The sequence below is a fragment of the Homo sapiens genome, chromosome 9, assembly GCF_000001405.40.
Source record: "Homo sapiens chromosome 9, GRCh38.p14 Primary Assembly".
NCBI classification, from domain to species: Eukaryota; Metazoa; Chordata; class Mammalia; order Primates; family Hominidae; genus Homo; species Homo sapiens.
This window is the reverse complement of record NC_000009.12, coordinates 118,915,828-118,942,059: the sequence shown is the minus strand read 5'-3', so window position 1 is coordinate 118,942,059 and position 26,232 is coordinate 118,915,828. Positions and strand designations below refer to the sequence as shown.

Below are 26,232 nucleotides of genomic sequence, written 5' to 3'. Positions count from 1 at the left end.
CCCCGTCCTCTTGGTTCTCAGGAAATTGTGTGACCAGGAATGGGCCACAAGAACACCATTAAAAACAAGCTGCTTACGATATCAAAAATTCCTTCAGGGTTGAGAGTGGTGGCTCATACCTGTAATCCCAGCACTTTGGGAGGCTGAGGTGGGAGAATCACTTTAGTCCAGGAATTTGAGACCGGTCTGGGAAACATAGTAAGACCTTATCTCTACAAAACATTAATTTTTTTTTTAATTAGCCAGGCACAGTGGTGCACACCTGTAGTCACACACACACACACACGCGCACACACACACAGCTTCCTAGGAGTAGCTGAGGGACGATGGCTTGAGCCCAGGAGGTCGAGGCTGCAGTGAGCCTTGATTGCTCCACTGCACTCCAGCCTAGACAACAACACCCTATATCAAACAAACACAGACAGAAATCCTTCAGGTCTATTTGTGTTTATGTCTTGGTTCTTGACTGTTACTAAAGGTACTGAACCTTGGATTGAGTAAGGTTAACAATAGTAGAAGCCATAACAATCCCTTTAATATATGCTATTGCTAGGTTTCTGTTATCCAGGTGATCGTACTTGATCCTCATGGAAAACCTGGTAAAATACAACACACCTGATTTATCTTTCTACATTTGGTCTATTACTCCTTTGGGCAGATGTTTTTATTCACAAACTGATTTAAGGGACAGTTGTCAGGTCGATTGAAGAGTTGGCTCAACACCCATATGGTTTTTTATCATCTATGTAAATGCATTATGTAGGCTACTGTGCATTTAGATATGCTGTTTCCACAATCTTCTGGGATGCATTGCAGGGATTTTCTTTCACCTATGTAAAGGGTAAATGTACACATTTATCCTAAGTCTATCTCCTCACAACATTTTTATTCATTTTCAAGTGGGGAATGGACTAGGAATGGGGAGTATTATAGAATATATCCTACTTTATTTTCTAGTAGAGCTTATATTATTCCTTTTTTAAAAAAAAATGCCCTGTGATCATCACATTTTTTGCTACAGTGTGGAAATGAATATCTTTTCTCCTAAATCTATAGTACCTCATAAGGTTCATTTGTAAATATGCATTGGGTCATTGGGAATGACACACATGCCACTTCCTTTAGTAGATATAAAGTTCTTTGAGGGCAGGGAGCATTTACTTCCCCAACTTCTCTTGAGGGCAGATCATTTACTTCTCTTGCTTATTCCTTTATCCCAAGCCATGTACACCAATGGGCTCAAAGTTGGTTCTCTCATGATGACATATAGTCACTTTATTCACATCTTGCATTGTCATGCTAACCTGACTTTTATCCTCCCCTTGCTCTTCTCAGACTGCAGAGGCCATATTTGTTTCCCGTGTCAGGGAGGGATCTGGTGAATGAAATTAACATTACAAATCAGCTAAGCCTAGTGAACCATGCCAGATGCTTGCAGTTCTGCTATTTCATGGGGCAAGTGGAGTAGGGAGATTGAAATAGGCTCCAGAGCTTCAGTACATAGGTTTGAATGTTAATACCACTTATTAGCTCTGTGGTCTTGTCAAATTATTTAACCTGTTTGTACCTAACTCTTCCCATTTATAAAATAAGGGCACTAATTATGCCTACTTCATTAATAGTTAAGAGTATTAAAATAAATAAACCACATAAATTGCTTAGAATTCGTGCTGGGCATATAAAAAAGACTCAATAAGTATTAGCTCACGTAATTTTGTCCTAATACAACATTGCAAGATAAATGTTTACATATTAATACTGTTTACAAATGATAAAACTTAACACACATTAAGAAATGTAGTTAATAACTGATAGAAAAACACCATATGAACTCATTTCTAGAGGATGATAATAATAATATGAAAGAATTGAGAATAGCCATACAATTTAGTGTGTTTCATATGTGCCTTGCGGTGTGCTAAAAGCTTTGTAGACACCATCTCATTTAAACTGCAATAACACAGAGGCAGTTTCTATTACTGTCCAAATTTTACAAACGGTGATCTCTTGCCTTGTAAAGGTGACAATAAGTGTCCTAGACAAAACAGCCAGTTAGTGGCAGAGCCAGGTCTGTCTGATCCCAAAGCTCATATACTTTGCTTCAACTCTACCAAGGTGCCTGCCAAAATGGAAAGCCACTCTTTGCTCTAAAAGGTAAAGGTTCAAATAGTAGAGAGTGTGCATGTGTGTGTTGACAGGGAGTGGGGCGTGATGAATGAAGAGTGAGAGCTGGACGCTGGTAAAAGAATGAATATAAACAGCATTTTGAAAGCCATTTAGAAGCAAGATTACAGAATCTCTTTGAAGATTTTCCTAGAGGACACGTTAAAAAGATGGCTTGCACGCAACTTAACGAGAGGTTAGCTGAAACACACTGGGCTCTGTGTAGGCGAGATGCGCACCGAAAATTAAATCCACGTTGGAAATGTTAATAAATGCATACACATGTTCTTGTTTGTAATGTGCTCCTTGTTTTTCTCATTTTATTCATGCTAGAACAACGTGAGGACATCTCTGTTGGGTCTCCTGGGACCTGCCTTCCCCCCTCTGGTTGTTTTGCTTTCTCTCTCTGTCTCTCCCCATCCCACACCCATACCCCCTGAATGTGATTTCACAGACTGAGACATCCAGGACCCAAGAGGGTGTCTATGCAGCAGGAATGAAGAATGTGAGAGCAGATTCTTCGGTCTTCTAGACGACACATCACATGGTAGTCACAGTGATGTTAAAACCAACAATATCACATTACTCTCTCGATTAAAGATGTCTAAGGGTTTCCTGTGGCTTATACAACAAAGTTCAAAGGCTTCTGCAAGACGTTTAAGGCCTGAGGGAGTTGAACACACTCCAGCCCTACCTGGCTGTCCGGACCGTTCATGCCCTCTACATTTTCCCTGGCAGTCCCTTTCTACGCCAATCTTCTTCAGTCATATCTAATTCAAATTGTGGTCTTCTTTATCAAGCCTTCCATGCAGTTTCCCAGGGAAAGTCAGTGGCTCTGGGTTCTTGGTTTCTCTTGTACTTCATGTTCACCTTTTATGAGCCATTAATGTTAGTATTAATAACTAGCTTTCATTTATTAAATGCTTAACATGTAAGGATTGTTCCTAAACATGGTATATAACTTTTCTCATTTAGTTTACCTAATAAATGTGTTAGATACATTTAGCACATGCTTAAGGTCCTGTCACCAAGGGTGGCAGAGCCAGGATGAGTGCTCTAATTCCTTTGACTTCAACATCTGTACCATTAATAATTACCTTTGGCCAGTATTTTACAACAGTGAACAGTGATTACTCACATGTGAGACTCACTTTACCACTAGTCCTTAAAATACTTGAAAGTGGCACTGATTTCTTCATTTTCTGGAGGCAGCAGGGTGGAGTTAGTGAGAAGAACATATTTAATATTTTAGAGTTACTCCCACCTGGTTGAAACTGTAGCTCCTTTATTAGCTTTGTGAGTTTAAACAAGTTACTGAATCTTTGAAAATCAATCTCTACCTCTGTCTCTGAGAAATAGCAGTACCAATTATATAGAGCTGTGAAAAAGAGAGGTCACATTTTCATAATACTGATATTATTGCAGCCACTCACTATAAGCTAGTTCCTTTTTTCTTTTTTTTCATGTACCTGCCCAATATCCTGGCCTAGAGTAGACACCCAGTAAAGAATACAGCTAACCAGGGAGGTGAAAGATCTCTACAATAAAAATTACAAAACACTGCTCAAAGAAATGAGAGAAGATACCAACAAATGGAAAAACATCCCATGCTCATGGAAAGACTCAATATCATTAAAATGCCATACTGCCCAAAGCAATTTATAGGTACAATGCTATACCTATCAAACTACCAATGACATTCTTCACAGAACTAGAAAAAAATATTTTAAAATCAATATGGAACCAAAATCCCCAAATAAGGAAGGCAATCTTAAGCAAAAAGAATTAAGCCGAAGACATCTCGTCACCCAACTTCAAACTACACTACAGGGCTACAGAATTCAAAACAGCATGGTACTGGCACAAAAACAGGCACGTAGACCAATAGAACAGAATAGAGAGCCCAGAAACAAGGCAATACACCTACAATCATATGATCTTTGACAAAGCTTACAAAAACATGTAATGGTAAAAGACTTCCTATTCAATAAATGGTGCTGGGATAACTGGCTAGCCATATGCAAAAGATTGAAGCTGGATCTCTTACTTATGCCATATACAAAAATCAACTCAAGATGAGTTAAAGCCTTAAATGTAAAACTCAAAACTATAAACAAACAACCTAGAAGACAACCTAGACTATACAATCCTGGACATAGGAACAGGCAAAGATTTCATGACAAAGACATCAAAAGCAATCACAACAAAAGCAAAAATTGACAAATGCAATCTAGTTAAACTGAAGAGCCTCTGCACAGCAAAAGAAACTATCAACAGAGTAAACAGACAAGCTACAGAATGGGAGAAAGTTTTTGCAAACTAAGCATCTGACAAAGACCTAATATTCAGCATCTATAAGGAACTTAAACAAATTTGCAAGAGAAAAATAAACAGCCCCATTAAAAAGTGGGCAAAGAACATGAACAGACATTTTTCAAAAGAAGACATACATACAGCCAACAAGCATATGAAAAAAGCTCAACATCACTGACCATTAGGAAAATGCAAATCAAAACCACAATGAGATACCATCACATATCAGACAGGATAGCCATTATTATAAAGTAAAAAAACAACAGATGCTAGTGATGTTGCAGAGAAAAAGGAACACATACACTTTTGATGGGAGTGTAAATTAGTTCAGCCATTGTGGAAGACAGTGTGGTGATTCCTCAAATTGCTAAAAGCAGAACTTCCATTTGACCCAGCAATTCCATTACTGGGCATATCATCATAGGAATATAAATCATTCTACCATAAAGACACATGCATGCAAATGTTCATTGTAACACTATCTACAAGAAGAAAGACATGGAATCAACCTAAATGCCCATCAATGACAGATTGGATCAAGAAAATGTGGTACATATACACCATGGAATACTATGTAGCCATTAAAAAATGAGATTATGTCTTTTGATGGAACATGGATGGAGCTGAAGGCTATTACCCTTAGAAAACAAATGCAGGAAAGAAAAACAAATACTGCATGTTCTCACTTAAAAGTGGGAACTAAATAATGAGAATACATGGACATAAAAAAGGGAATGACAGACACCAGGCTCTAATTCAGGGTGGATGGTGGGAAGAGGGAGAGGAGCAGAAAAAAATAACTATTGGGCACTAGGCTTAATACCTGGGTGATGAAATAATCTGTACATGAAACCCCCATGTCATGAGCTTACTTATATAACAAACCTTCATATGTACCCTCAAATCTAAAATAAAAGTTAAAAAAATTTTGGGAAAAAGGGGGGTAGGGGAGAAAGTTAATTTTATTCTTAAAACTATGTCAAAAGTAAAATACTGCCACTGCTCTGATTCATCAACTGAATTATCTAAAAGCCCTGGCAAAGATTTGTCATTCAAGTAAGGGAGTAGAGAGGAATAGGAGATCCAAATGTTTTCAATAGGAAATATAAGAAGAGCTTAGACAGATGGGAAGGAAGGGAGGCAGAACATTCCTTAGGGAGAGTAGAAAGAAGTTAAACTAATTCCCAGAAAGCCATTCTTAGTGTTCCACACCACAATCTTGGTCCAAAAGACACTAGAGTGAAGATTTGCGTGTTGGTTCATCGTTGTGCAATGGCATTATCACTATGCAAAAGGTAAAGAGGAAGAGGGAAGTTATGAACTAGATTTCTGGAGCTTCAGTGAGATAGAGAGGAAAGTAAAATCTTTTAGTCCTGGATGTTAATCTTCACTCTGCCACTTGCCAGCTTCATGAATTTTTTTTCCTCCAGATAACGGGAGAAATAATACCTGCCTTGTCAGGCTCAAACGTCACACACACACACACACACACACACACACACACACCCTGTACCAAACACCTCACAAATCTTAAAGTATAAGGCTTAAATACAATGGGCACTCAATAGATATTTATTTCATTTTGCTTGTTTTGGTTTAGTTTTCCCACATACCTCACCACCTTTTTATATTTTCTTTTTAATCTCTTTCTTTCTTTCCTTCTTTCTTTCTTTCTCTCTCTCTCTCTCTCTCTGTGTCTCTCTCTCTCTTTCTTTCTTTCTGTCTTTCTTTCTTTCTTTCGAGACAGGGTCTTTCTCTGTCGTCCAGGCTGGAGTACAGTGATGTAATCATGGCTCACTGCAGCCTTGACCTCCCAGGGCTCTAGCTATCCTTCCACCTCAGCCTCCTGAGTAGCAGGGACTACAGGTGCATGCCACCACACCCAGATAATTTTTGTATTTTTTGTAGAGACAAGGTTTCACCATGTTGCCCAGGCTGGTCTCGAAATCGTGGGCTCAAGTAATCCTCCCGCCTTGGCCACTTAAAGTGTTAGAATTGCAGGTGTAAACCACTATACCTGGCCCACTTCCTTTCTTTAGAGAAAACTAAATGCACTAGTTTAGAGAATATAAATGCACTCGTTTAGAGAAATAACTAAATGCACTTGTTGTTCTATTTGAACTTATCCAGTTACCAACATACTCTCTGCCATCCTGCCCTCTCATGACACTTTCAGGAGTTGTGGACAACTTCAAGTCACCACTGTCCTACTCAAGGACAAAATACCCAAGTCTAGCTTCTCTTCCATTCCTGTTTCTTTTTTTTGGGTGTCAGCCAAGCACGGTACCACTCATAGCAGAGAACCAGTGAGGAAAAACAAAGAAACAGATACATCAGCAGCGTGACATATGCACTGGTTAACATTTATCTGCCCATTTTTAAATTCACCTATCATACCTACTCCATGAAAGGCCACACTGGGCCTTGTGGAGGAACATGATTCAAGTAAGATGTTTCTTATTTTTAAGCAGAAACAAGAAACAAGCTGTTTATACCCAGCTTGAAACCTTTCTCAGTAAACCTTTTCAATAAAATAAATGTCAGTTGTTGGCACAGTTTTTGGCACATAGTAACATTTAATAAATCAAAGTTGAAATAATGGGGTGTTGATAATAATTACAATAGAAGTAGTGGTGCTAGGATGATGATGATAATAATTACGGCCGGGCCCGGTGGCTCATGCCTGTAATCCCAGCACTTTGGGAGGCCAAGGTGGGCAGATCATGAGGTTGGGAGTGCGAGACAAGCCTGGCCAATCTGGCGAAACCCCGTCTCTAATAAAAATATAAAAATTAGCTGGACATGGTGGCACGTGCCTGTAGTTCCAGCTATTCAGGAGGCTGAGGCAGAAGAATTGCTTGAAACTGGCAGGCGGAGGTTGCAGTGAGCCGAGACCGCACCACTGCACTCCAGCCTGGGTGACAGAGCAAGACTCCATCTCAAATAATAATAATAATAATAATAATAATAACAACAACAACAACAACAACAATAGAAGTAGTGGTGCTAGTGATAATATAGATTGTCATTATGATTCTCCCCCATGTCTGTTGCTAATTTTGCTAGGCCTTCTTTTCTGGAAGTTTCAATGAGACAAGTAGCCTACTACTTAAAAGTATCACAGTAGATTGGAAAAGGAGTTACCATACATGACAGTCCTTCATTAAAAAAACAGAAGCCATCTGATTGGAGCCTCTTCACTTTATATTCACAAATCCACAAATCCACCTGCTTCTTTACCCATATTCTTCTATCAAAAGTCAGTCCCTGTATATGAACTTTAGATCCTAACAATTTTCATTTTTTCAAGGGCTTTTCCTTTACACATATTCCTTCTTTCCTCTCTTTTGCATCATCAGTCTCTCCCTTTCTGCTGAATCAGTCTCATGAGCATACATAACATATACTATTGCCCATTAAATCAAAGAAACTTTATTCTGACCTCATTTTTCCCTCTAGTTATCTTCACGTTTTCCCCCTCCTCAACATTGTTAACTTGATAGTTCAACTTCCTCATCTTTCATTTGTTCTTCAACTTGCTCCATTTCGATTTGTATCACCACCATGCTAGAATATATGTCATCAAAATCACCAATAACCTGATGTATGTTGTTCTTACCATCCTCAGGATCTTTTAACACAATCAATGACTCTCTCTGCTTTAGACACACTCTGTGTCTTCCATTTCCATAAACATCTCAAGGTTAAAGTGGATAAAACTGAACTTAACCGAATGTTTGGGGGAAACTGAGTAAGTTTTTCCCAAAATTGTTTTGTTTGTTTTTCCCCTCAGCCATCCTCTTTTGGAAAAATGAGTTCAGTACAGATCTGGGTTCTTAAGCCAAAAAAATAAAATCTCCTGTGATTCTAATTATCTTCTGTGTCTCTTTCCCCCTCTCTATCTCTGTCTTTCTGTTTTTTTTCTCCCTCTCTCATCACTAATAACCAATCCCTTATAAATCTATCTGTAAGTGTAGACTCTTTTCCAAAATGAATCATGAATCCTTTCATTTTTTTTTTTTTACCTACACTACCACTATCTTCATCTAGACCACCTTCAACTTTTGGTGGAATACTGCAACAATTCCTAACTGGTCTCCCATTTCTTTGCTAGTCTCTTTCTACCCGTTAACTACTTCCACTAAAATTTAGGTAAGTATGGTGGGGTCTTTTTGTATATTATTTAAAGTTTAACCTATTAGCCAGAATACAAGTACAAGCTCCTTAAAAAAGCATAGATTGGTTTTCATGATCTTTCTTCTTGACCGCTTTTTAAATCTCCTCTCTTGACACTTTTTGTTTACTACTTTATGTTCAGGCAACATGGATATGCTTAGGGTTCTTGAAATGTTCACCCTTTCTTCTTCATTAAATAAAACCTAGCTTCTCTCCAAAGAAATCCTCTGAGACCCTTTCCAAAAGCAGAGTACATCATTATTTTGCCTCTGCTACCTCTGTACTTTGTGCACATTTCTATTATTAATAATTTCTAGATATGTTTGTGTCCCGTAATAGAGTATTTCTCCAACTTGGCTGCACATTGGAATCACCTGAGAAGTTAAAACAAAACAAAACAAACAAACAAAGAAAAAACAAAACTATGGTCTGGGATTTTCCTACTCAGAGCTTCTGATTTAATTGGTGTGGAGTGTAGCCTGCGCTTTAAGAATTCATATATATTCCCAAGAATATATATAAATATGTGTGTGTATATATATATATATATATATATACACACACACATCCCAGTGATTCTAATATGCAGTGAAGTTAGAGACTCGCTCCTTGAGGCTAGGGATGATCTATTTTTATTTTTAATCCCTGTATCCCAGGTGTTCTAAATTCTGTTTGGCACATAGTTGGAATTAAATTTTATGTTGGTAAAAATGTACTCACCAATGAATAAAGAGCTTATGAAGCAATATAATTCCCAAGTGAAACAGGTAAAGTTAAGTTAAAGGAATGTGAATTTTCAGTAAGGTTTAAAAAATGTTAAATGCCTGGGATAGACTTGTAGTAGATAAGTAAAATGCTAAAATCAAAAAGAGGCAAATAGAAATAAATGCAATATATAAATAGAAACAGTCATCGTTGAGATTAAGTCTGAGATCATTTGCAAAGTGAATAGAAGAAACTGGAGAGGGAGAATTTGACAGCGAGATATTAAAAGTATGGTAGTGGTAACAAGAGGCCAAGGCAGGTATTCATGGAAGTTTTTTAGAGAAGGCGGCACTAAATTGACACAAGTATTTAAGAGAAAGACACGTTCTAATTGTGCAGCCCACTTTTCTAACTTCCAACAATTAATGAGGCTTTGAATTCAAGTGAACAAATAGAGTATTTTTTGTTACCAACTATTATGGTAATGATAACATCACAGTTGAAGAAGCTGAGATTATGTCCCAGTAAATAACATGAATTTTAGAGAAACATTACATGGTTTTGCCAACAGCTGTGTGGCTTTTGGCAAGTCACTTAACCTCTGTGACTCAAGTTTCATATGGGTAAAATGAGGATAACAATTATAACTTTTTCTTGTGGCAATTATTACCAATAAAGGTGATAATTTATGTAAAGTGCTCAGAAAAGCCTAGCACAGAGTAAGTAACAAAAAATGTTAGTTTTATCATTATAGATGTAGAAGTATCCATAATGTAGATAGATGTACACACTTATGTATAGATGTTTAAATTGCCCATGACTTAAACAATGTCAAGGCTAATATATAGTGTTAAAAAGGGAAAGTGAGATTGTGTTCATGTGTTTTATAAATGTAAAAGTTGATTTCTATTTTAGAACTAAATCCATATATACATGTATACAGAAGATGTATTTAATCTCACTCTGTTTATCTTTTAGACACATAGGCACACATGTACCACCTTACAATTGCAGTAAAATCGCCACATCAATGAACATTAAAATGATTCTCTCAAAACTCTTAGTTAATATCAAATTTGTATATAATCTATACATATATAATCTATACATAATATCAAATTTATATATAATCTATACATGGTCAGCATGAAAATGGGTTCATCTAAATTTCTTGAAGTGTTCTTGAGGTTACTATTCTCTTAGGTAGTTAATAGTCATATGATTCTGTTCATATGATTAATTAATTTGATTGAAAAACTTAAATATCTCAAGTTTTTATTTCTTTCTTATATTAGAAATTTTCTGTCCAAGTGATTACAAATTATCCTTAAAACAGGCCAAAATTACTAACTGTAAGTTTGAAGCTCAAACTTTTCTATAAGTCTCAATATTCCACTGATTCCACAAATTATCAGAGGCAACATATATATGTATTATTACCAAAGTCTCTGTTTTTAACTCTACCTTTTCTTCTCTATGTCTCCAAACGTACTTCAAGGCTGCCGTATGTCTCATCCTCTGTGGAGTTCATGGAATATTTCTCTTATTGGAGCTTCAGAAACACTCATGGTCTGAATCATATAGCTAAGTTTACAGAAAATAATAATAATAATAATAATAATTGATCTTGAAATACACAAAGAAATGCTTTAACTTAATTAAGCGTGGTTGAGGGCTCAGCTTTAGAGGATTCATTTTATGGATACATAAGAATGAGTTGTGATTAGTCTATATATATAGACTAATACATATATACATATATACTTATATATCTAAGACTATTAGATATATTAGCATATACACTAATATATATTTGTATGTATATTATTAATATGTACAAATACTAGTACAGTATATATATTAGTAATATATGTTAGTGGTCTCAAATTCATATGAGTCTGCAGCAACCTCAGTTCTACCTCCTCAGAAGAAAGAATTCAACCTAGGAGGCAGAAGGCAGAAGGAGAGACTGAGTCAAGTTTTAGAGCAGAAAGAAAATTTTATTAAAAAGCTTTAGAGTAGGAACAAAAGGAAGGAAAGCCCACTTGGAAGAGGACAAGGTGGTGGGCTTGAAAGACAAGTGCCTCATTTGACCTTTGACTTGGGATTTTATATGTTGGCATTCTTCTGGTGTCTTGCATTATTGTTACTTCTCCCCTGATTCTTCCCTTGGGGTGGGCTGTCTGCCTGCACAGTGGCCTGCCAGCACTTGGGAGGGGCCGCGTGCTCAGTGTGTTCACTGAAGTTGTATGCACACTCACTTGAGGCGTTCTTCCCTTACCAGTTGAATGTCCCTGAAAGCTCATATGCCAATTAAATGCCACAATTTTGCCTCTTAATGCACATGCTTGAGCCCACTTGTCAGATTCCTGAGATCTTATCAGGAAGCTGCTGCTCACCAGTTTCAAGATTTTTCCATCTATTGGGAGACTGTCTTTCACGGGCACCTGCTGGGACCAATTATTACTTTAGATAAACAGTGTAACAACCACCTTACCATCACCTGATGGTTGGCTCATATTCCTGGTGTCACAGGTGGAGCCCTCTCCTGCCCTGCTCATGCCTGACTAGCTATCTACTGTAATATATAAATACTAATATATACACTATATAAACCAATATATGCTAATGTAATATATACATTACAGTTTATTACATAAACACATTATTTATTATATAACACATATATACTATTGTTGCTGAGTTAAAATAAATGGATACTCTTCATTTATCTTTTTAGTCTCCCCAACCTGCACATTTATCCAGACCATGCCAACATTATTTTTCACCTCGAACTTAGTCAAAATATAACCTCATAATTAAAAACAGAGAAGGGCCGAGTGGTGTATCAGGGACAGCCTGTACTGGTTCACAAGCAGATTTATACATTTTCAGGAATTTTGCAAGCCAGCTGTTAATCTGAATCCTTAGTAAACATTAACTTATATAACTTATATACAGTTACAATTAAATAAATTATATTAAAAACAAAGTTAATAAATCCTTAAAACTCATTACTTGTTCATTATTTTCTACATTTTGCCATCATCTATGTTCTTGACTTTATTTATGTCTATTTTTATCTTTATGTGCAAGTACTACATAATCATGTGCTATTGTGCATGTCTTCTGACTCCAGTGTTCAGTGCTGTCTTGTCGGTAGATTGTAATGAGCCATGGTAGGAGTATTTATACCACAGAATTTAGCCAATGACTCAGGCTTAAGTCAGGGCCTTTTTTCTCCGCTGCAGTCAGATGTTAAACACTTGCCATCATACCCCTGGAAGAATCTATTACCTAGTATGCTGCATACTTTTCTTGGATACTTGAAGACTAGTAGCTAAATTAGATAGTTTTGAAAGAAAAGCAGAATTGGTATGTACATTACATATATATATATGTAATGAAGAAACTTTATATATATATAAAATATGTCTGACAACCCACATAAACCTAGTTAAATTACATCCAATAAAGAAAGAACAGAGAGTAGAGGGAAGATTTCCCTGGAAACTTCACAGAACACACGCATACATGCTTTTGAATAATGAATTTAATTTCCAAGTTTCACATAAAGCTCTTTCCTGCCTTTGCTCTCCCTTGCTCTCCCTTAACCTTTTCCTACTTCTTTTCCTTCATCCCTTTATCTGAACTTCTTAACGAGATGCAATTCTAACCTGTTCCCTCCCTCTCTATTATTCCACTAATCTGTCTCCACCCACCTAATTAAGGTGATCACCTCCTTCTTTCTCCTGCAAAGCAGCATTAATCACCCCTCAGTACTCTGGCAGAGTGACCTTCAGCCTACATGATCTGGGTAACAATCTTAGAGAGCCTTCCTGCACTGTCCCTGTGACTGCCCTCTTCTCTCTTCCCTCCTGGGAAGAGGTCAGGTCTGCTGCTTGGAAACCATTCTCCAACCTCTTAGCTATTCTCCACCCACTAAAGCTGTTTATCAGCTTCGGTCAGAAAATCAAATTTTTTTCTACCCATATTTTTCTCTAATTACTTTCTCCAGTCCTCTTATAGACTCCCAGAATACTGAATTAATCTTATCAAAAATCATTCCAGGAATAGCTGAAGGAGTTGTGGGTGTTAGCACATGCTAAAACAACTCGAACTCTTCAATTTCCCCAAAAATGGAAGAGAATTTGCTCTGTGAAACCCATGGAAGACAGAGCCAGGAACTGTAGATTTTATTTTTTTAAGTAAAATATAATTTCAGATTAAGACAGGACATTTCACTTTAAGCTGCCCTAAATAAGTATAGGCTGACGATCATGAGTGAGCTCCAGGTCTCAGGGATTATTTAAGAGCCATCACAGAAATGATGCCTGAGTAGAGTAGACGGTTGGATTAAAGCGTCTGTAAGTTTCCTTCTATTCTAAAACCAACTGGTTCCATGAACCTCTGAGTTGTAGCCTGAAACACTGGCCACGGGACCAATATTTTTGACTTGCATTCATCTCTTGCTCCTCACCCACCACCCCACCACCTCCTGATGCCTTGTACAATTTATAGCATAATTTCATATCCCTGCTTGAAAACAAAGCAAAGTTTCTTCATTACCAGATTCCCAATGGGTTTTGATCAGCTCCTCTTTGAAGTAAGCCTGCATTGCTTTCTTTCTTCAAATGGAACAAAAGGCTAAATTGTCTCCAGTGATATAGTGAAGTATTTCTCAAAGTAGAAAAAAATAAGACAAAGTAAAATAAACTGTTAAAGAGCCTTAATAAAGCATTTCAGAAACAGGATAAAACAGAAAAGGAAGAATGGGGACTTGAATATGCAGAGTTAATAGCGGTTCTTACAATGCCTTTCATCTCTGGCTCTTAAACATCATTCGAAGCAATATTATTGCCCTCATTTTTCATCTTATTATTATTTAGCATTTATATTTGCAAGGAGTTTAGGGTTCATTCTTATTATCAATCCCTCACAATCCCATGGTGGGAAAGGCAGAGACTTGAGTTCCCTCTGGTTCTGATAAGATAAATGGTCACAGAAGAATTAGAGGCTTTGATCTAGTACTGGCAGTGGATAGGGGCCAGGAAGAAACTGAAGAACTTGACCACCAAGTCCACATTCTGAACAGGGGACATTTAAGCTGCACATGTGGAAGGAAGCATACTGTGGTGGAAAGAATACTACTTTGGCCATGATTGATCTTACGAAATTTTTTTTTTCACTGAACCTTGGTTGTCTTTTCAGTAATATGCAGGAAGAATAAAACCTACACAACTAAATAGAATCACTTTGAGAATACATTAAGGTTAAACATTTGAAGCAGTAGTTGGTATTCTGTAAAACTCAGTTGCCTTTTACATCTCTTTTGATGTATGCTTAGAGTGTGATTGTGATTCTACAAGCTTGTCGTAACTTGCTGATTGAAACCCAGGCAGTAGGTTAAGTGGTTTGTACTGGGAAAGCAGAGATGTATACTGCCAGGTCCCTTCCTCTAAAAACCTGATTCCATAGATCCCAGAAACAGGGCATTAAAGATGGATGCATGTTTGTGCTACTTGTTTCATTGAGAGGTGGGCGTCTGATACCATTAAGAGGTAAAATCTCGTAGCATTAATGACTTGCTGAAACAAAAATGGAAGAAGTGATGCATTGCCAGTTCCAGTACTAGCCTGTAAGTAAACTGCCGATTTCCACCTTGCCTATTGCAGTTCTGACCTTAGAATTGTATATCTGCACACCAACTGACAGCCCCAGCTTAGCCCACACTTAGTAATTGACATAGGAGTAAAGCCATCTTGAATCTTCTGTAACAGCCCATCTGACAACCAAATACAGCCAAGTGATCTTTGTTGATGCCACATGGAAGAGAAGATTCAACCAACTGAGTCCTGCCCAAATTTCTGGACCAAGAAAAGAGTAGAGTAGAGTAGAATAGAGTAGAATAGAGTAGAGTAGAGTAGAGTAGAGTACAGTAGAGTAGAGTACAGTAGAGTAGAGTACAGTAGAGTAGAATAGAGTAGAGTAGAGTAGAGTAGAATAGAATATAGAATAGAATATAGAATAGAATAGAATAGAGAATAGAATAGAATAGAATAGAGAATAGAATAGAATAGAATAGAATAGAATTAGAATAGAATAGAATAGAATAGAATAGAATAGAATAGAATAGAATAGAATAGAAGGATTAATGTTTTATGTCATTATACTTTGGGTAGTTCATTATACAATAATGGATAACCAGAACACCAAGTAACTTCTTAATGTTTAACTGGAGCTCCAATCTGAGCCACTGTCTACATTTCCAACCCCAATTCCCTGAATACTGTGCACAACATGTGCTTCTCAGTAAATGAGTCCCCTCTCTAGAAGACATACCTCTGTATCCTCCCGGCCCTATGGAAATCTCACATCTTCACTGACTACCTTTTGATAATCTCTGTCAGGCAAGAGAAGTAATGCTGTCTGTTCTAAAATACAAAAATCTCAATGACATTGCATGAAAAACACTTTTATTTTTCTTATATTGCAGACTGACAAGGACTAGACTTTTCTCAGAGATGGCTCCTCTCCAAGAAGTATGACAGGTTTCAAATATTTTTACCATTTAGGGTTTCACTGTTTCCTTGGGTCTTCTTGATGGTCTCTGCTAGATCCCCTACATCAGGCCTGGTGAAAGAATATTATGCTTGGGCGAAGAATCTCATGAGAGATTGCAGAGGCTGCAACTGAGAGTGACATGTATGTTTTCGCCATATGCCATGATATAATACTAGTTACATGGCTCCAACCTAACTTTTATAAAAAGTAAAAAATATAGGCCTACTGTGCAACCAGAAAAATGAAAGTAACTGGTAAAATCCAATAGCAGGTGCCATTTTACAGGTGTCTTTTCCTCTACGCATAAAGAACGTTTAGCTGTTTAAGTCCAGATGTTACACTTGATTCAACATTAAGTAATTACTGTATACCAGGAGCTAGTCTACAGGCAGAGAGTTTTCTGGATCAAGTCCTGTTTTTGTGGATATAAAATAAACACTAAATAAAAATTGAAAACGACTAAGATTTACTCAGTCTCTGCTATACCACTCTTGTCAAACAATGCAGAACTATGATGATTATGAGTGTTTAAATCCATATTGGTTTCAGATTTATTCCATGTCATTTTTCTAGCTGTGTGAGCTGGACATATTATTTAACTTCTCTGAGTTTCAGTTGCAGTTGTAATGAGAATAACAATATCCATGCCATATAGTGAATAACATTAGTAAAATATAGTTTTCATAAAGATACTAAAAAATGCATTTTATTCTTTGTTCCAACACGCCACCTAAAATACTCTCTGATGGACAGTCTCTCCTCTGTTTTCTTGGCAGATATTGTTAATCAGTTATGACATTTTATTTTCTACTCATTCTGTTATTACCCTCAGAATTCTTCCTAGCATGTCTTTCCAAGCAGCCAAGGCCAATATATTAGAGTTAGTTTTTAAAACAGAATCTCATTTGTGATCTTTCATCTAACACATTCACTTGACAGAAAATCGTGCTGTTTGGTTTTTATGACTGTTATGTTTTTATATAGGCATGTTTGCTTCTCCAAAGGGCTGTTAACTCTTTGAGGAGCGCGATCCTGATTTTGTTGTCTTCTCCATGGTACCCAACCATAACACTCAGTACTTAACAGATTGTCTCTGAATTGAATATATAATACAGAAAATAATACTCTTTATTCCAAGTCTACTATGAGTTAAATGTGTGACATGCATAATTTTATTTAATGTTAATTAAAAAAAACCCTATGTGGAAAGAAATATTATTGTGCTGATTTTACTGATGAAGGAACAGAAGCTTAAAAAGCTTAAGCATTTAATAAAATTCAACATCCTTTCATGATAAAATCTTTAAATACACTGGATACAGAAGAAAAATACCTTAATATAATAAAGGTCATATATGACAAACCCACAGTTAACATCATCATACTGAATGAGGACAAATTGAAAGCCATTCCTGTAAGATCTACAACAAGACAAGGATGCCCACTCTCACCACTCATATGCAACAAAATACTGGAAGTACTAGCCAGAGCAATTAGGTAAGACAGAGAAATAAAGGACATCCAATTTGGAAAGGAGGATATAAAATTGTTCTTTTTTGATTACAAGATCTTATATTTAGAAAAACCTAAAGACACCACCATAACAATTTTCAGAGTTGATAAATGAATTCAATAAAATTTTAAGACACAAAATTAACATACAAAATTAGTAGAATATCTACACAGTGGCAGTGAATAATATGAAAAAGGAATCAAGAAAGCAATTCCACTTATAATAACTAGAAAAAAATAAAATACCTAGGAATAAATGTAAGCAGAGGTGAAAAATATTCACAACAAAAACTATAAAACATTACTCTAAAAAACTGAAGAGGACACAATAAATGGAAGCATATTTCATGTTCATTAGTTGGAAGAAATAATATTATTAAAATGTCCATACTACCCAAAGTGATTTACAGATTCAATGCAAACCCTATGACAATCTTCACAGAAATTGAAAAAAAGAAATTTTAAATTCATATGGAATCACAAAAGACCCTGAATAGCTAAAGGGATCCTGAGCAAAAGGAACCAAGCTGGAGACATCACAATACCTAACTTCAAAATACGCTACCAGAGGGTGGAGCAAGATGGTCAAATAGAAGCCTACACCATTCATTTCCCTGCAGGAATACCAAATTTTTACGAGTAACTAAACACAAAAAAAGCACCATCACAAGAACCAAAAATCAAGTGAACAATCAAAGTGCTTGTTTTTGTTTTGTTTTTTTTTATTATACTTTAAGTTTTAGGGTACATGTGAACAATGTGCAGGTTAGTTACATATGTATACATGTGCCATGTTGGTGTGCTGCACCCAGTAACTCGTCATTTAGCATTAGGTATATCTCCTAATGCTATCCCTCTCCCCTCCCCCACCCCACAACAGTCCCCAGAATGTGATGTTCCCCTTCCTGTGTCCATGTGTTCTCATTGTTCAATTCCCACCTATGAGTGAGAATATGCAGTGTTTGGTTTTTTGTCCTTGCAACAGTTTACTGAGAATGATGATTTCCAATTTCATCCATGTCCCTACAAAGGACATGAACTCATCATTTCTTATGGCTGCATAGTATTCCATGGTGTATATGTGCCACATTTTCTTAATCCTGTCTATCATTGTTGGACATTTGGGTTGGTTCCAAGTCTTTGCTATTGTGAGTAGTGCCGCAATAAACATATGTGTGCATGTGTCTTTATAGAAGCATGATTTATAGTCCTTTGGGTATATACCCAGCGATGGGATGGCTGGGTCAAATGGTATTTCTAGTTCTAGATCCCTGAGGAATCGCCACACTGACTTCCACAATGGTTGAACTAGTTTACAGTCCCACCAACAGTGTAAAAGTGTTCCTATTTCTCCACATCCTCTCCAGCACCTGTTGTTTCCTGACTTTTTAATGACTGCCATTCTAACTGGTGTGAGATGGTATCTCATTGTGGTTTTGATTTGCATTTCTCTGATGGCCAGTGATGGTAAGCATTTTTTCATGTGTTTTTTGGCTGCATAAATGTCTTCTTTTGAGAAGTGTCTGTTCATGTCCTTCGCCCACTTGTTGATGGGGTTGTTTTTTTCTTGTAAATTTGTTTGAGTTCATTGTAGATTCTGGATATTAGTCCTTTGTCAGATGAGTAGGTTGCAAAAATTTTCTCTCATTTTGTAGGTTGCCTGTTCACTCTGATGGTAGTTTCTTGTGCTGTGCAGAAGCTCTTTAGTTTAATTAGATCCCATTTGTCAATTTTGGCTTTTGTTGCCATTGCTTTTGGTGTTTTAGACATGAAGTCCTTGCCCATGCCTATGTCCTGAATGGTAATGCCTAGGTTTTCTTCTAGGGTTTTTATGGTTTTAGGTCTAACGTTTAAGTCTTTAATCCATCTTGAATTAATTTTCGTATAAGGTGTAAGGAAGGGATCCAGTTTCAGCTTTCTACATATGGCTAGCCAGTTTTCCCAGCACCATTTATTAAATAGGGAATCCTTTCCCCATTTCTTGTTTTTCTCAGGTTTGTCAAAGATCAGATAGTTGTAGATATGCAGCATTATTTCTGAGGGCTCTGTTCTGTTCCATTGATCTATATCTCTGTTTTGGTACCAGTACCATGCTGTTTTGGTTACTGTAGCCTTGTAGTATAGTTTGAAGTCAGGTAGCATGATGTCTCCAGCTTTGTTCTTTCAATGGAAGAACATTCCATGCTCATGGGTAGGAAGAATCAATATCGTGAAAATGGCCATACTGCCCAAGGTAATTTATAGATTCAATGCCATCCCCATCAAGCCACCAATGACTTTCTTCACAGAATTGGAAAAAACTACTTTAAAGTTCATATGGAACCAAAAAAGAGCCCGCATCGCCAAGTCAATCCTAAGCCAAAAGTGCTTGTTTTTAACTTCCTGTGGTGAAAGAGGCACTGAACAGGGTAGGAAAGATAGTACTGAATCACGGATACCATCCCACCCCCATCCCCCAGCAGCATGGAGACAGAATCTCTGTGCTTGGGGGAGGGCAAGCACAGTAACTGGTGAGCTTTACATTGGACTCAATGCTGTCCTGTCATAGTGGAGAGCAAAGCCATGCTGTGCTCAGCTGATGCCCACACATGCAGGGAGAATTTGGACCAGATCTAGCCAGAGAGGAATTACCCATCATAGCAGTTGGAACTTGTGTTTCTTGGCAGGCCTCACCACTGTGAGCCAAAGTGCTGTGAAGTTCTAGATAAACTTGAAAGGCAGTCTAGGACACAAGGACTCCAATTCCTAGGCAACTCCTAGTGCTGGGCTAGGCTTAGAGCTAGTGGACTAGGGTGGCATGTGACCTAGGGAGAAATCAGATGAGGTGGGTAAGGGAGTGCTTGCACCACTTCTTCCCCAACCCCAGCCAGTGGAGTGCACAACAACAAAAGTGACTCCTTTCTTCTGCCTGAGCAGAGGCAAGCAAAGAATAAAGAGAACTTTGTGTTGCACCTTTGATACCAGCTCAGCCACAGTAGGATAGGGTGCCAGGCAGAGTCAAGAGGCCCGCATTCCAAGCCCTAGCTCATGGACAACACTTCTAGACACAACTTGGGCCAAAAGGGAACCCACTGCCTTGAAGGGAAGGAACCATTCCTGACAAGATTCATTACCCACTGACTAAAGAACCCTTGGGCCCCAAATAACCAAGAGCAAAATCCCCGTAGTATGCCATGGGCCTTGGGCTCTCAGATATGCTGGCTTCAGGTGTGATCCAGCTCATTTCCAGCTGTGGTGGCTATGGTGAAAAACTCCTTCTGTTTGAAAAAAGGAGGAAAAATTAAAGGGGACTTTGTCTTGCATCCTATGCAAAAGCTCAGCCACCACAGTGGGGTGGAGCACCAAGCAGGTTCTTGGGGTCCCTGAGCCAAGGTCTAGGCTCTTGGATGACAGTTCTGGACCTGCCCTGGGCCAGAGATGAGCCCACTGCCCTGAAGGGTGAGTCCCAAGTGTGGCATCATTCACCACAAGCTGACTGAAGAGCCCTTGGGGTCTATGTGAACATCAGTTCACATGTGATGTGATAGAACTGATGTGACACATCACTTAGGGTGGCCTGGTGAATACCCTGTGGGCTGGTGGTGGTGGTGGCTACAGAAAGAGCCTCTTATGCCTGTGGAAATGGGAGGAAAGAGTAGGAAGTATTTTGTCTTGTAGTTTGAATGCCAGCTTAGCTGCAGTAGAATGGAACATCAAGTAAATTTCTAAGGTTTTTTTACTCTAACCCCTGCCTTCCAGATAGCATCTCTGGGCCCACCCAGGCCCTGGGAGAACTCACTTTCCTGAAGGGAGGGACACAAACGAGGCTGGCTTTGCCACTTGCTGATCACAGAGCCCTAGGGCCTTGAGTGAACATAGACGGTAGTTAGGTAGTGGTTATAGCAGGCCTTGGCTGGGACCTAGGGCTGTGCTCACTTCAGATCTGAACCAGTGGTGATGGCCTTGTGTCCTCCTCCCCAGTTCTAGGTGGTTCTTGTGTCCCCCTCCCCAGAGGTGCTTGTGTCCCCCTCCCCAGTTCTGGGTGGTTCAAACAGAGAGAGACAGACTATTTTGGGGGGAGGATGTAAAAGAAAATAACAAGAGTATCCGCCTGGTAATCCAAAGAATTCTACCATATCTTATCCAAGACAGTCAAGATAGTACCTCTTTGAGTCTGCAAAAACCATCTTCTCTGGAATTCCATCTTCTCTGGAATAAAACTAGAAATCAATAACAAGAGAAATAACAGCTTTATTGGGCTTGGGGCCCAAATCCCTTCGAATACTTGGAAAGCTTTCCCAAGAAGGATAGGCACAAACAAGTTTAGACTGTGAAAATCACAATAAATGCCCATCTCGTCAATGCCCAGACACTGACAAAGATCTACAAGCATCAAGAACAACCAGGAAAACAAGACCTCACCAAATGAACTAAATAAGTCACTAGAGACCAATTACAGAGACATACAGATATGTGTCATTTCAGACAATTACTTCAAAATAGTTGTGTTGAGGAAACTCAAAGAAATTCAAAATAACACAGAAAAGGAATCCAGCATTCTATCAAATAAATTCACCAAAAATTGAAATAATTAAAAAGACTCAAACAGAAATTCTAGAGGTGAAAAATGCAGTTGACCTGCTGAAGAATGCATCAATGTCTTAATAGCAAAATTGATCAAGCAGAGGAAAGAATTAGTGAGCTTGAAGACAGACTGTTTGAAAATGCATGGTCAGAGGAGGCAAAAAAAAAAAAAGGTTTTTTTTTTTTTTGAAAAGAAGCACATCTACAAGATCTAGAAAATAGCCTTAAAGGGGCAAATCTGAGTTATTGGCCTTAAACAGGAGATAGAAAAAGAGATAGGTTTAGAAAGTTTATCGAAAGGATAATATCAGAGAACTTTCCAAACCTAGAGAAAGATATCAATATTCAACTAGAAGAGGTTATAGAATACAAAACAGATTTAACCCAAAGAAGACTACTTCAAAGCATTTAATAATCAGACTCCTAAAGATCAAATATAAAGAAAGAATTCTAAAAGCAGCAGAAGAAAAAAAATAAATTACAAACAATGGAGCTCCAGTAATCTGGCAGCAGACTTATCAGTGGAAATCTTACAGGCCAGGAAAGAATGGTATGACATATTTAAAGTGCTTAAGAAAAAAAAACCTTTTACCTTAGAATAGTATATCTGGTGGTAATAACCTTCAAACATGAAGGAGAAAGAAGTGTCTTGACAGACTAACAAAAGTTGAGGGATTTCATCAACACCAAATATGTCCTACAAGAAATGCTAGAAGTTCTTCAATATGGAAAAAAAGGATGTTAATGAGCAATAAAATATCATCTGAAGGTACAAAACTCACTGGTAAAGCACACAGAAAAACAGAGATTATTAAAACCTGTAATTTGGTGTGTAAACTACTCTTAAGTAGAAAGGCTAAACTATGAACTAATAAAAATAATACCTGCAACTTTTCAAGACATAGTAAACTAAGACATAAAGTGAAACAACAAAAAGTTAAAAAGCAGGGGTACAAAGGTAGAGCACAGTTTTTATTAGTTTTCATTTTGCTTAGAAAGAAATAACGTGTTAGAAAACAACACTGTTTTCTATTTAAAACAGTGTTGTTATCAATTTAAAATAATATGTTATAAGATAGATTTTTAAGCTTCATGGTAACCTCAAATTGAAAAACATACAATAGATACATGAAAAATGAAAAGGAAGAAATTAAATCCTATGACCAGAGAAAATTATCTTCACTAAAAGGAAGAGAGGAAGGAAGGAAAGAAAAAGAGAAGACCACAAAACAACCAGAAAACAAATGACAAAATGGCATGACTAAGTCCTTATCAATAATAACATTGAATGTAGGGGACAAAACTCTTCAATCTAAAGATATAGAGTGGCCAAATAGATTAAAAAGCAAGACCCAGTGAGCGTTTGCCTACAAGAGATGTAATTCGCCTATAAAAATACGCATAGAGTAAAAATAAAGGAATTGAAAAAGATATTCCATGTCGATGAAAACCTAAAAGGAGCAGGAGTAGCTATACTTAGACAAAATATATTTAAAGACAAAAATGGTAAGAAGATACAAGGAAGATCATTATATAATGATAAAGGGGTCAATTCAGCAAGAGATTATAATAATTGTAAATATATATGCACCCAATGCTGAAGCACCTGGATGTATGAATCAAAAACCATTAGAGCTAAAGAGAGAAATAGGCAACAATAGCTGGAGACTTCAACATCCCACTTTCAGCACTGGACAGATCTTCCAGATAGAAAATCAACAAAGAAACATCAGACTTAACATGCATTATGGACCAAATGGACCTAATGGATATTTATAGAACATTTTATCCAATGGCTACAGAATACACATTCTTCTCAGTACATGGAACACTCTCAAGGATAAATCATATGTTAGGTCAAAAAACAAGTCTTAAAACATGTGAAATAAATGAAATAATATCAAACATCTTATCTGGAGTAAAATTAGAAATTAATAACAAGATACATTTTAGAAATTATACAAATGCATGGAATTAAACAATATGCTCCTGAATAACGTGTGTCAAGGAAGAAATTAAGAAGGTAATTGAAAAATTTTTTGAAACAAATACTGATGGAAACACAACATACCAAAACCTATGGAATACAGCAAAAGCAGTAAAGAGAGGGAAGCTTATAGCTGTAAGTGCCTACGTCAAAAAATAAAACTTCAAATAAATAACCTAATGATTTACCTTAAAGAACTAGAAAAGCAAGATCAAACCAAACCCAAAATTAGAAGAAAAAAAATAAAAAAGATCAGAAGAGAAATAAATGAAATAAATGAAGAAAACAATACAGAAGTTCAATAAAATGAAAAGATAAATAAAATTAACAAATCTTTAGCCATGCTAAGAAAAACAGAGAGTACACTCAAATAAGTAAAATTAGAGATTAAAAAGGAGACATTACAACTGATACTGCAGAAATTCAGAGTATCATTAGTGGCTACTATAAGCAAAGATATTTCAATAAATTGGAAACTCTAGAGGAAATGTATAAATTTCTAGACACATACAACCAAACAAGATTGAACCATGAAGAAATTGAAAACCTGAAAAGACCAATAACGAGTAATGAGATCAAAGCCATAATAAAATTTCTCCCAGTAAAGAAAAGCCCACGGACCTGATGGCTTCACTGCTGAATTCTACCAAACATTTAAAAAATAACTAATACCAATTCTCCTCAAAATACTCTGAAAATGGGGGAGAAAACTTATGAACTCATTCTACAAAGCCAGTATTAACCTATCAAAACCAGAAAAAGACATATCAAAAAAAGGAAACTACCGGCCAGTATCTCTGACGAATATTGATGTAAAAATCCCCAACAAATTACTAGCAAACTGAATTCAACACCACCATTAAAAAGACCATTCACAATGATTAAGTGGGGTTTATCCTAGGGATATAAGCATGGTACAACATTTGCAAATCAATCAGTATGTTACATCATATTAACAAACTGAAGGACAAAAAAAACACGTGATCATTTCAATCGCTGCCGAAAAAGCATTTGATAAAGTTCAACACCCCTTCATGATAAAAAAAACTCTTAAAAAACTGAGTATAGAAGGAACATACCTCAATGTAATAAAAGTCATATATGACAGACACACAGCTAGTATCACACTGAGTGGGGAAAAATTGAAAGTCTTTTCTCTAAGATCTGGAACACAACAAGGATGTCCACTTTCACCCCGTTATTCAACAGAGTACTAGTAGTCTTACTAGAGTAACCAGACAAGAAAAAGACATAAAGGACATCCAAATTGGAAAGGAAGAAGTCAAATTATCCTTGTTTACAGATAATATGATCCTATATTTGGAAAAACCTAAAGACTACACAGAAAAAATATTAGAACTGAAAAGCAAATTCAATGAAGTTTCAGTATATGATATCGACATACAAAGATTAGTAACATTTCTATATGGCAACAGTGATAAATCTGAAAAAGGAATAAAAACGTAATCAAATTTACAATAGCCACAAGTAAAATTAAATACCTAGAAATTAACCAAATAAGTGAAACATCTCTATAATGAAAACTATAAAACACTGATGAAATGAAAAAGGAGAACAAAAAATGGAAAGATATTCTACATTAATGGATTAGAAGAATCAACACAGTTAAGCTGTCCAAACTACCCAAAGCAATCTACAGAATCAATGCAATCTCTGCCAAAATACCAATGGCACTCTTAAGAGAAATAGAAAAATAATCCTCAAATTTTTATGATACCACAAAGACCCAGAATAGCAAAGCTATCCAGAGCAAAAACAAACAAACAACAACAGCAACAACAACAACAACAAAACTGGAGGAATCATTACCTGAATTCAAATTAGACTACAGAGCTATAACCAAAACCCAAAACAGCATGATATTGGCATAACAACAGACATATAGACCAATGGAACAGAATAGAGAGCCCAGAAACAAGTCCATGCACCTGCAGTGAACTCATTTTCTTTCCTTCTTTCTCTCTTTCTTTTTCTTTCTTTCTCTCTCTCTCTTCCTTCCTTCCTTTTCTCTCTCTCTCTGTCTTTCTCTTTCTTTCTTTCTTTCTTTCTTTCTTTCTTTCTTTCTTTCTTTCTTTCTGTCTTTCTCTCTCTCTCTTTCTTTTTTTTTTTAAGATGGGAGTCTCACTCTGTCACCCATGCTGGAGTGCAGTGGTGTGATCTTGGCTCACTGCAACCTCCACCTCCTGGGTTCACGTAATTCTCTTGTCTCAGCCTCCTGAGTAGCTGGG

At 37.0% G+C, this 26,232-nt stretch overlaps 1 long non-coding RNA gene across 1 annotated transcript in view, besides 1 other annotated feature; it reads right to left on the bottom strand.

Moving 5' to 3' along the window:
* LOC101928849 (uncharacterized) overlaps positions 1-26,232 on the bottom strand; it is a 128,376-nt gene that overhangs the window by 38,370 nt on the left and 63,774 nt on the right. The window lies entirely within an intron of this gene.
* Positions 12,892-13,457: an enhancer, noted in NCBI's record as "OCT4-NANOG hESC enhancer chr9:121690881-121691446 (GRCh37/hg19 assembly coordinates)". NCBI's record gives its function as "activates a minimal SCP1, AML or CMV promoter by ChIP-STARR-seq in primed H9 embryonic stem cells {active_cell/tissue: H9 hESC(primed)}" and the evidence as "EXISTENCE:reporter gene assay evidence [ECO:0000049][PMID:30033119]".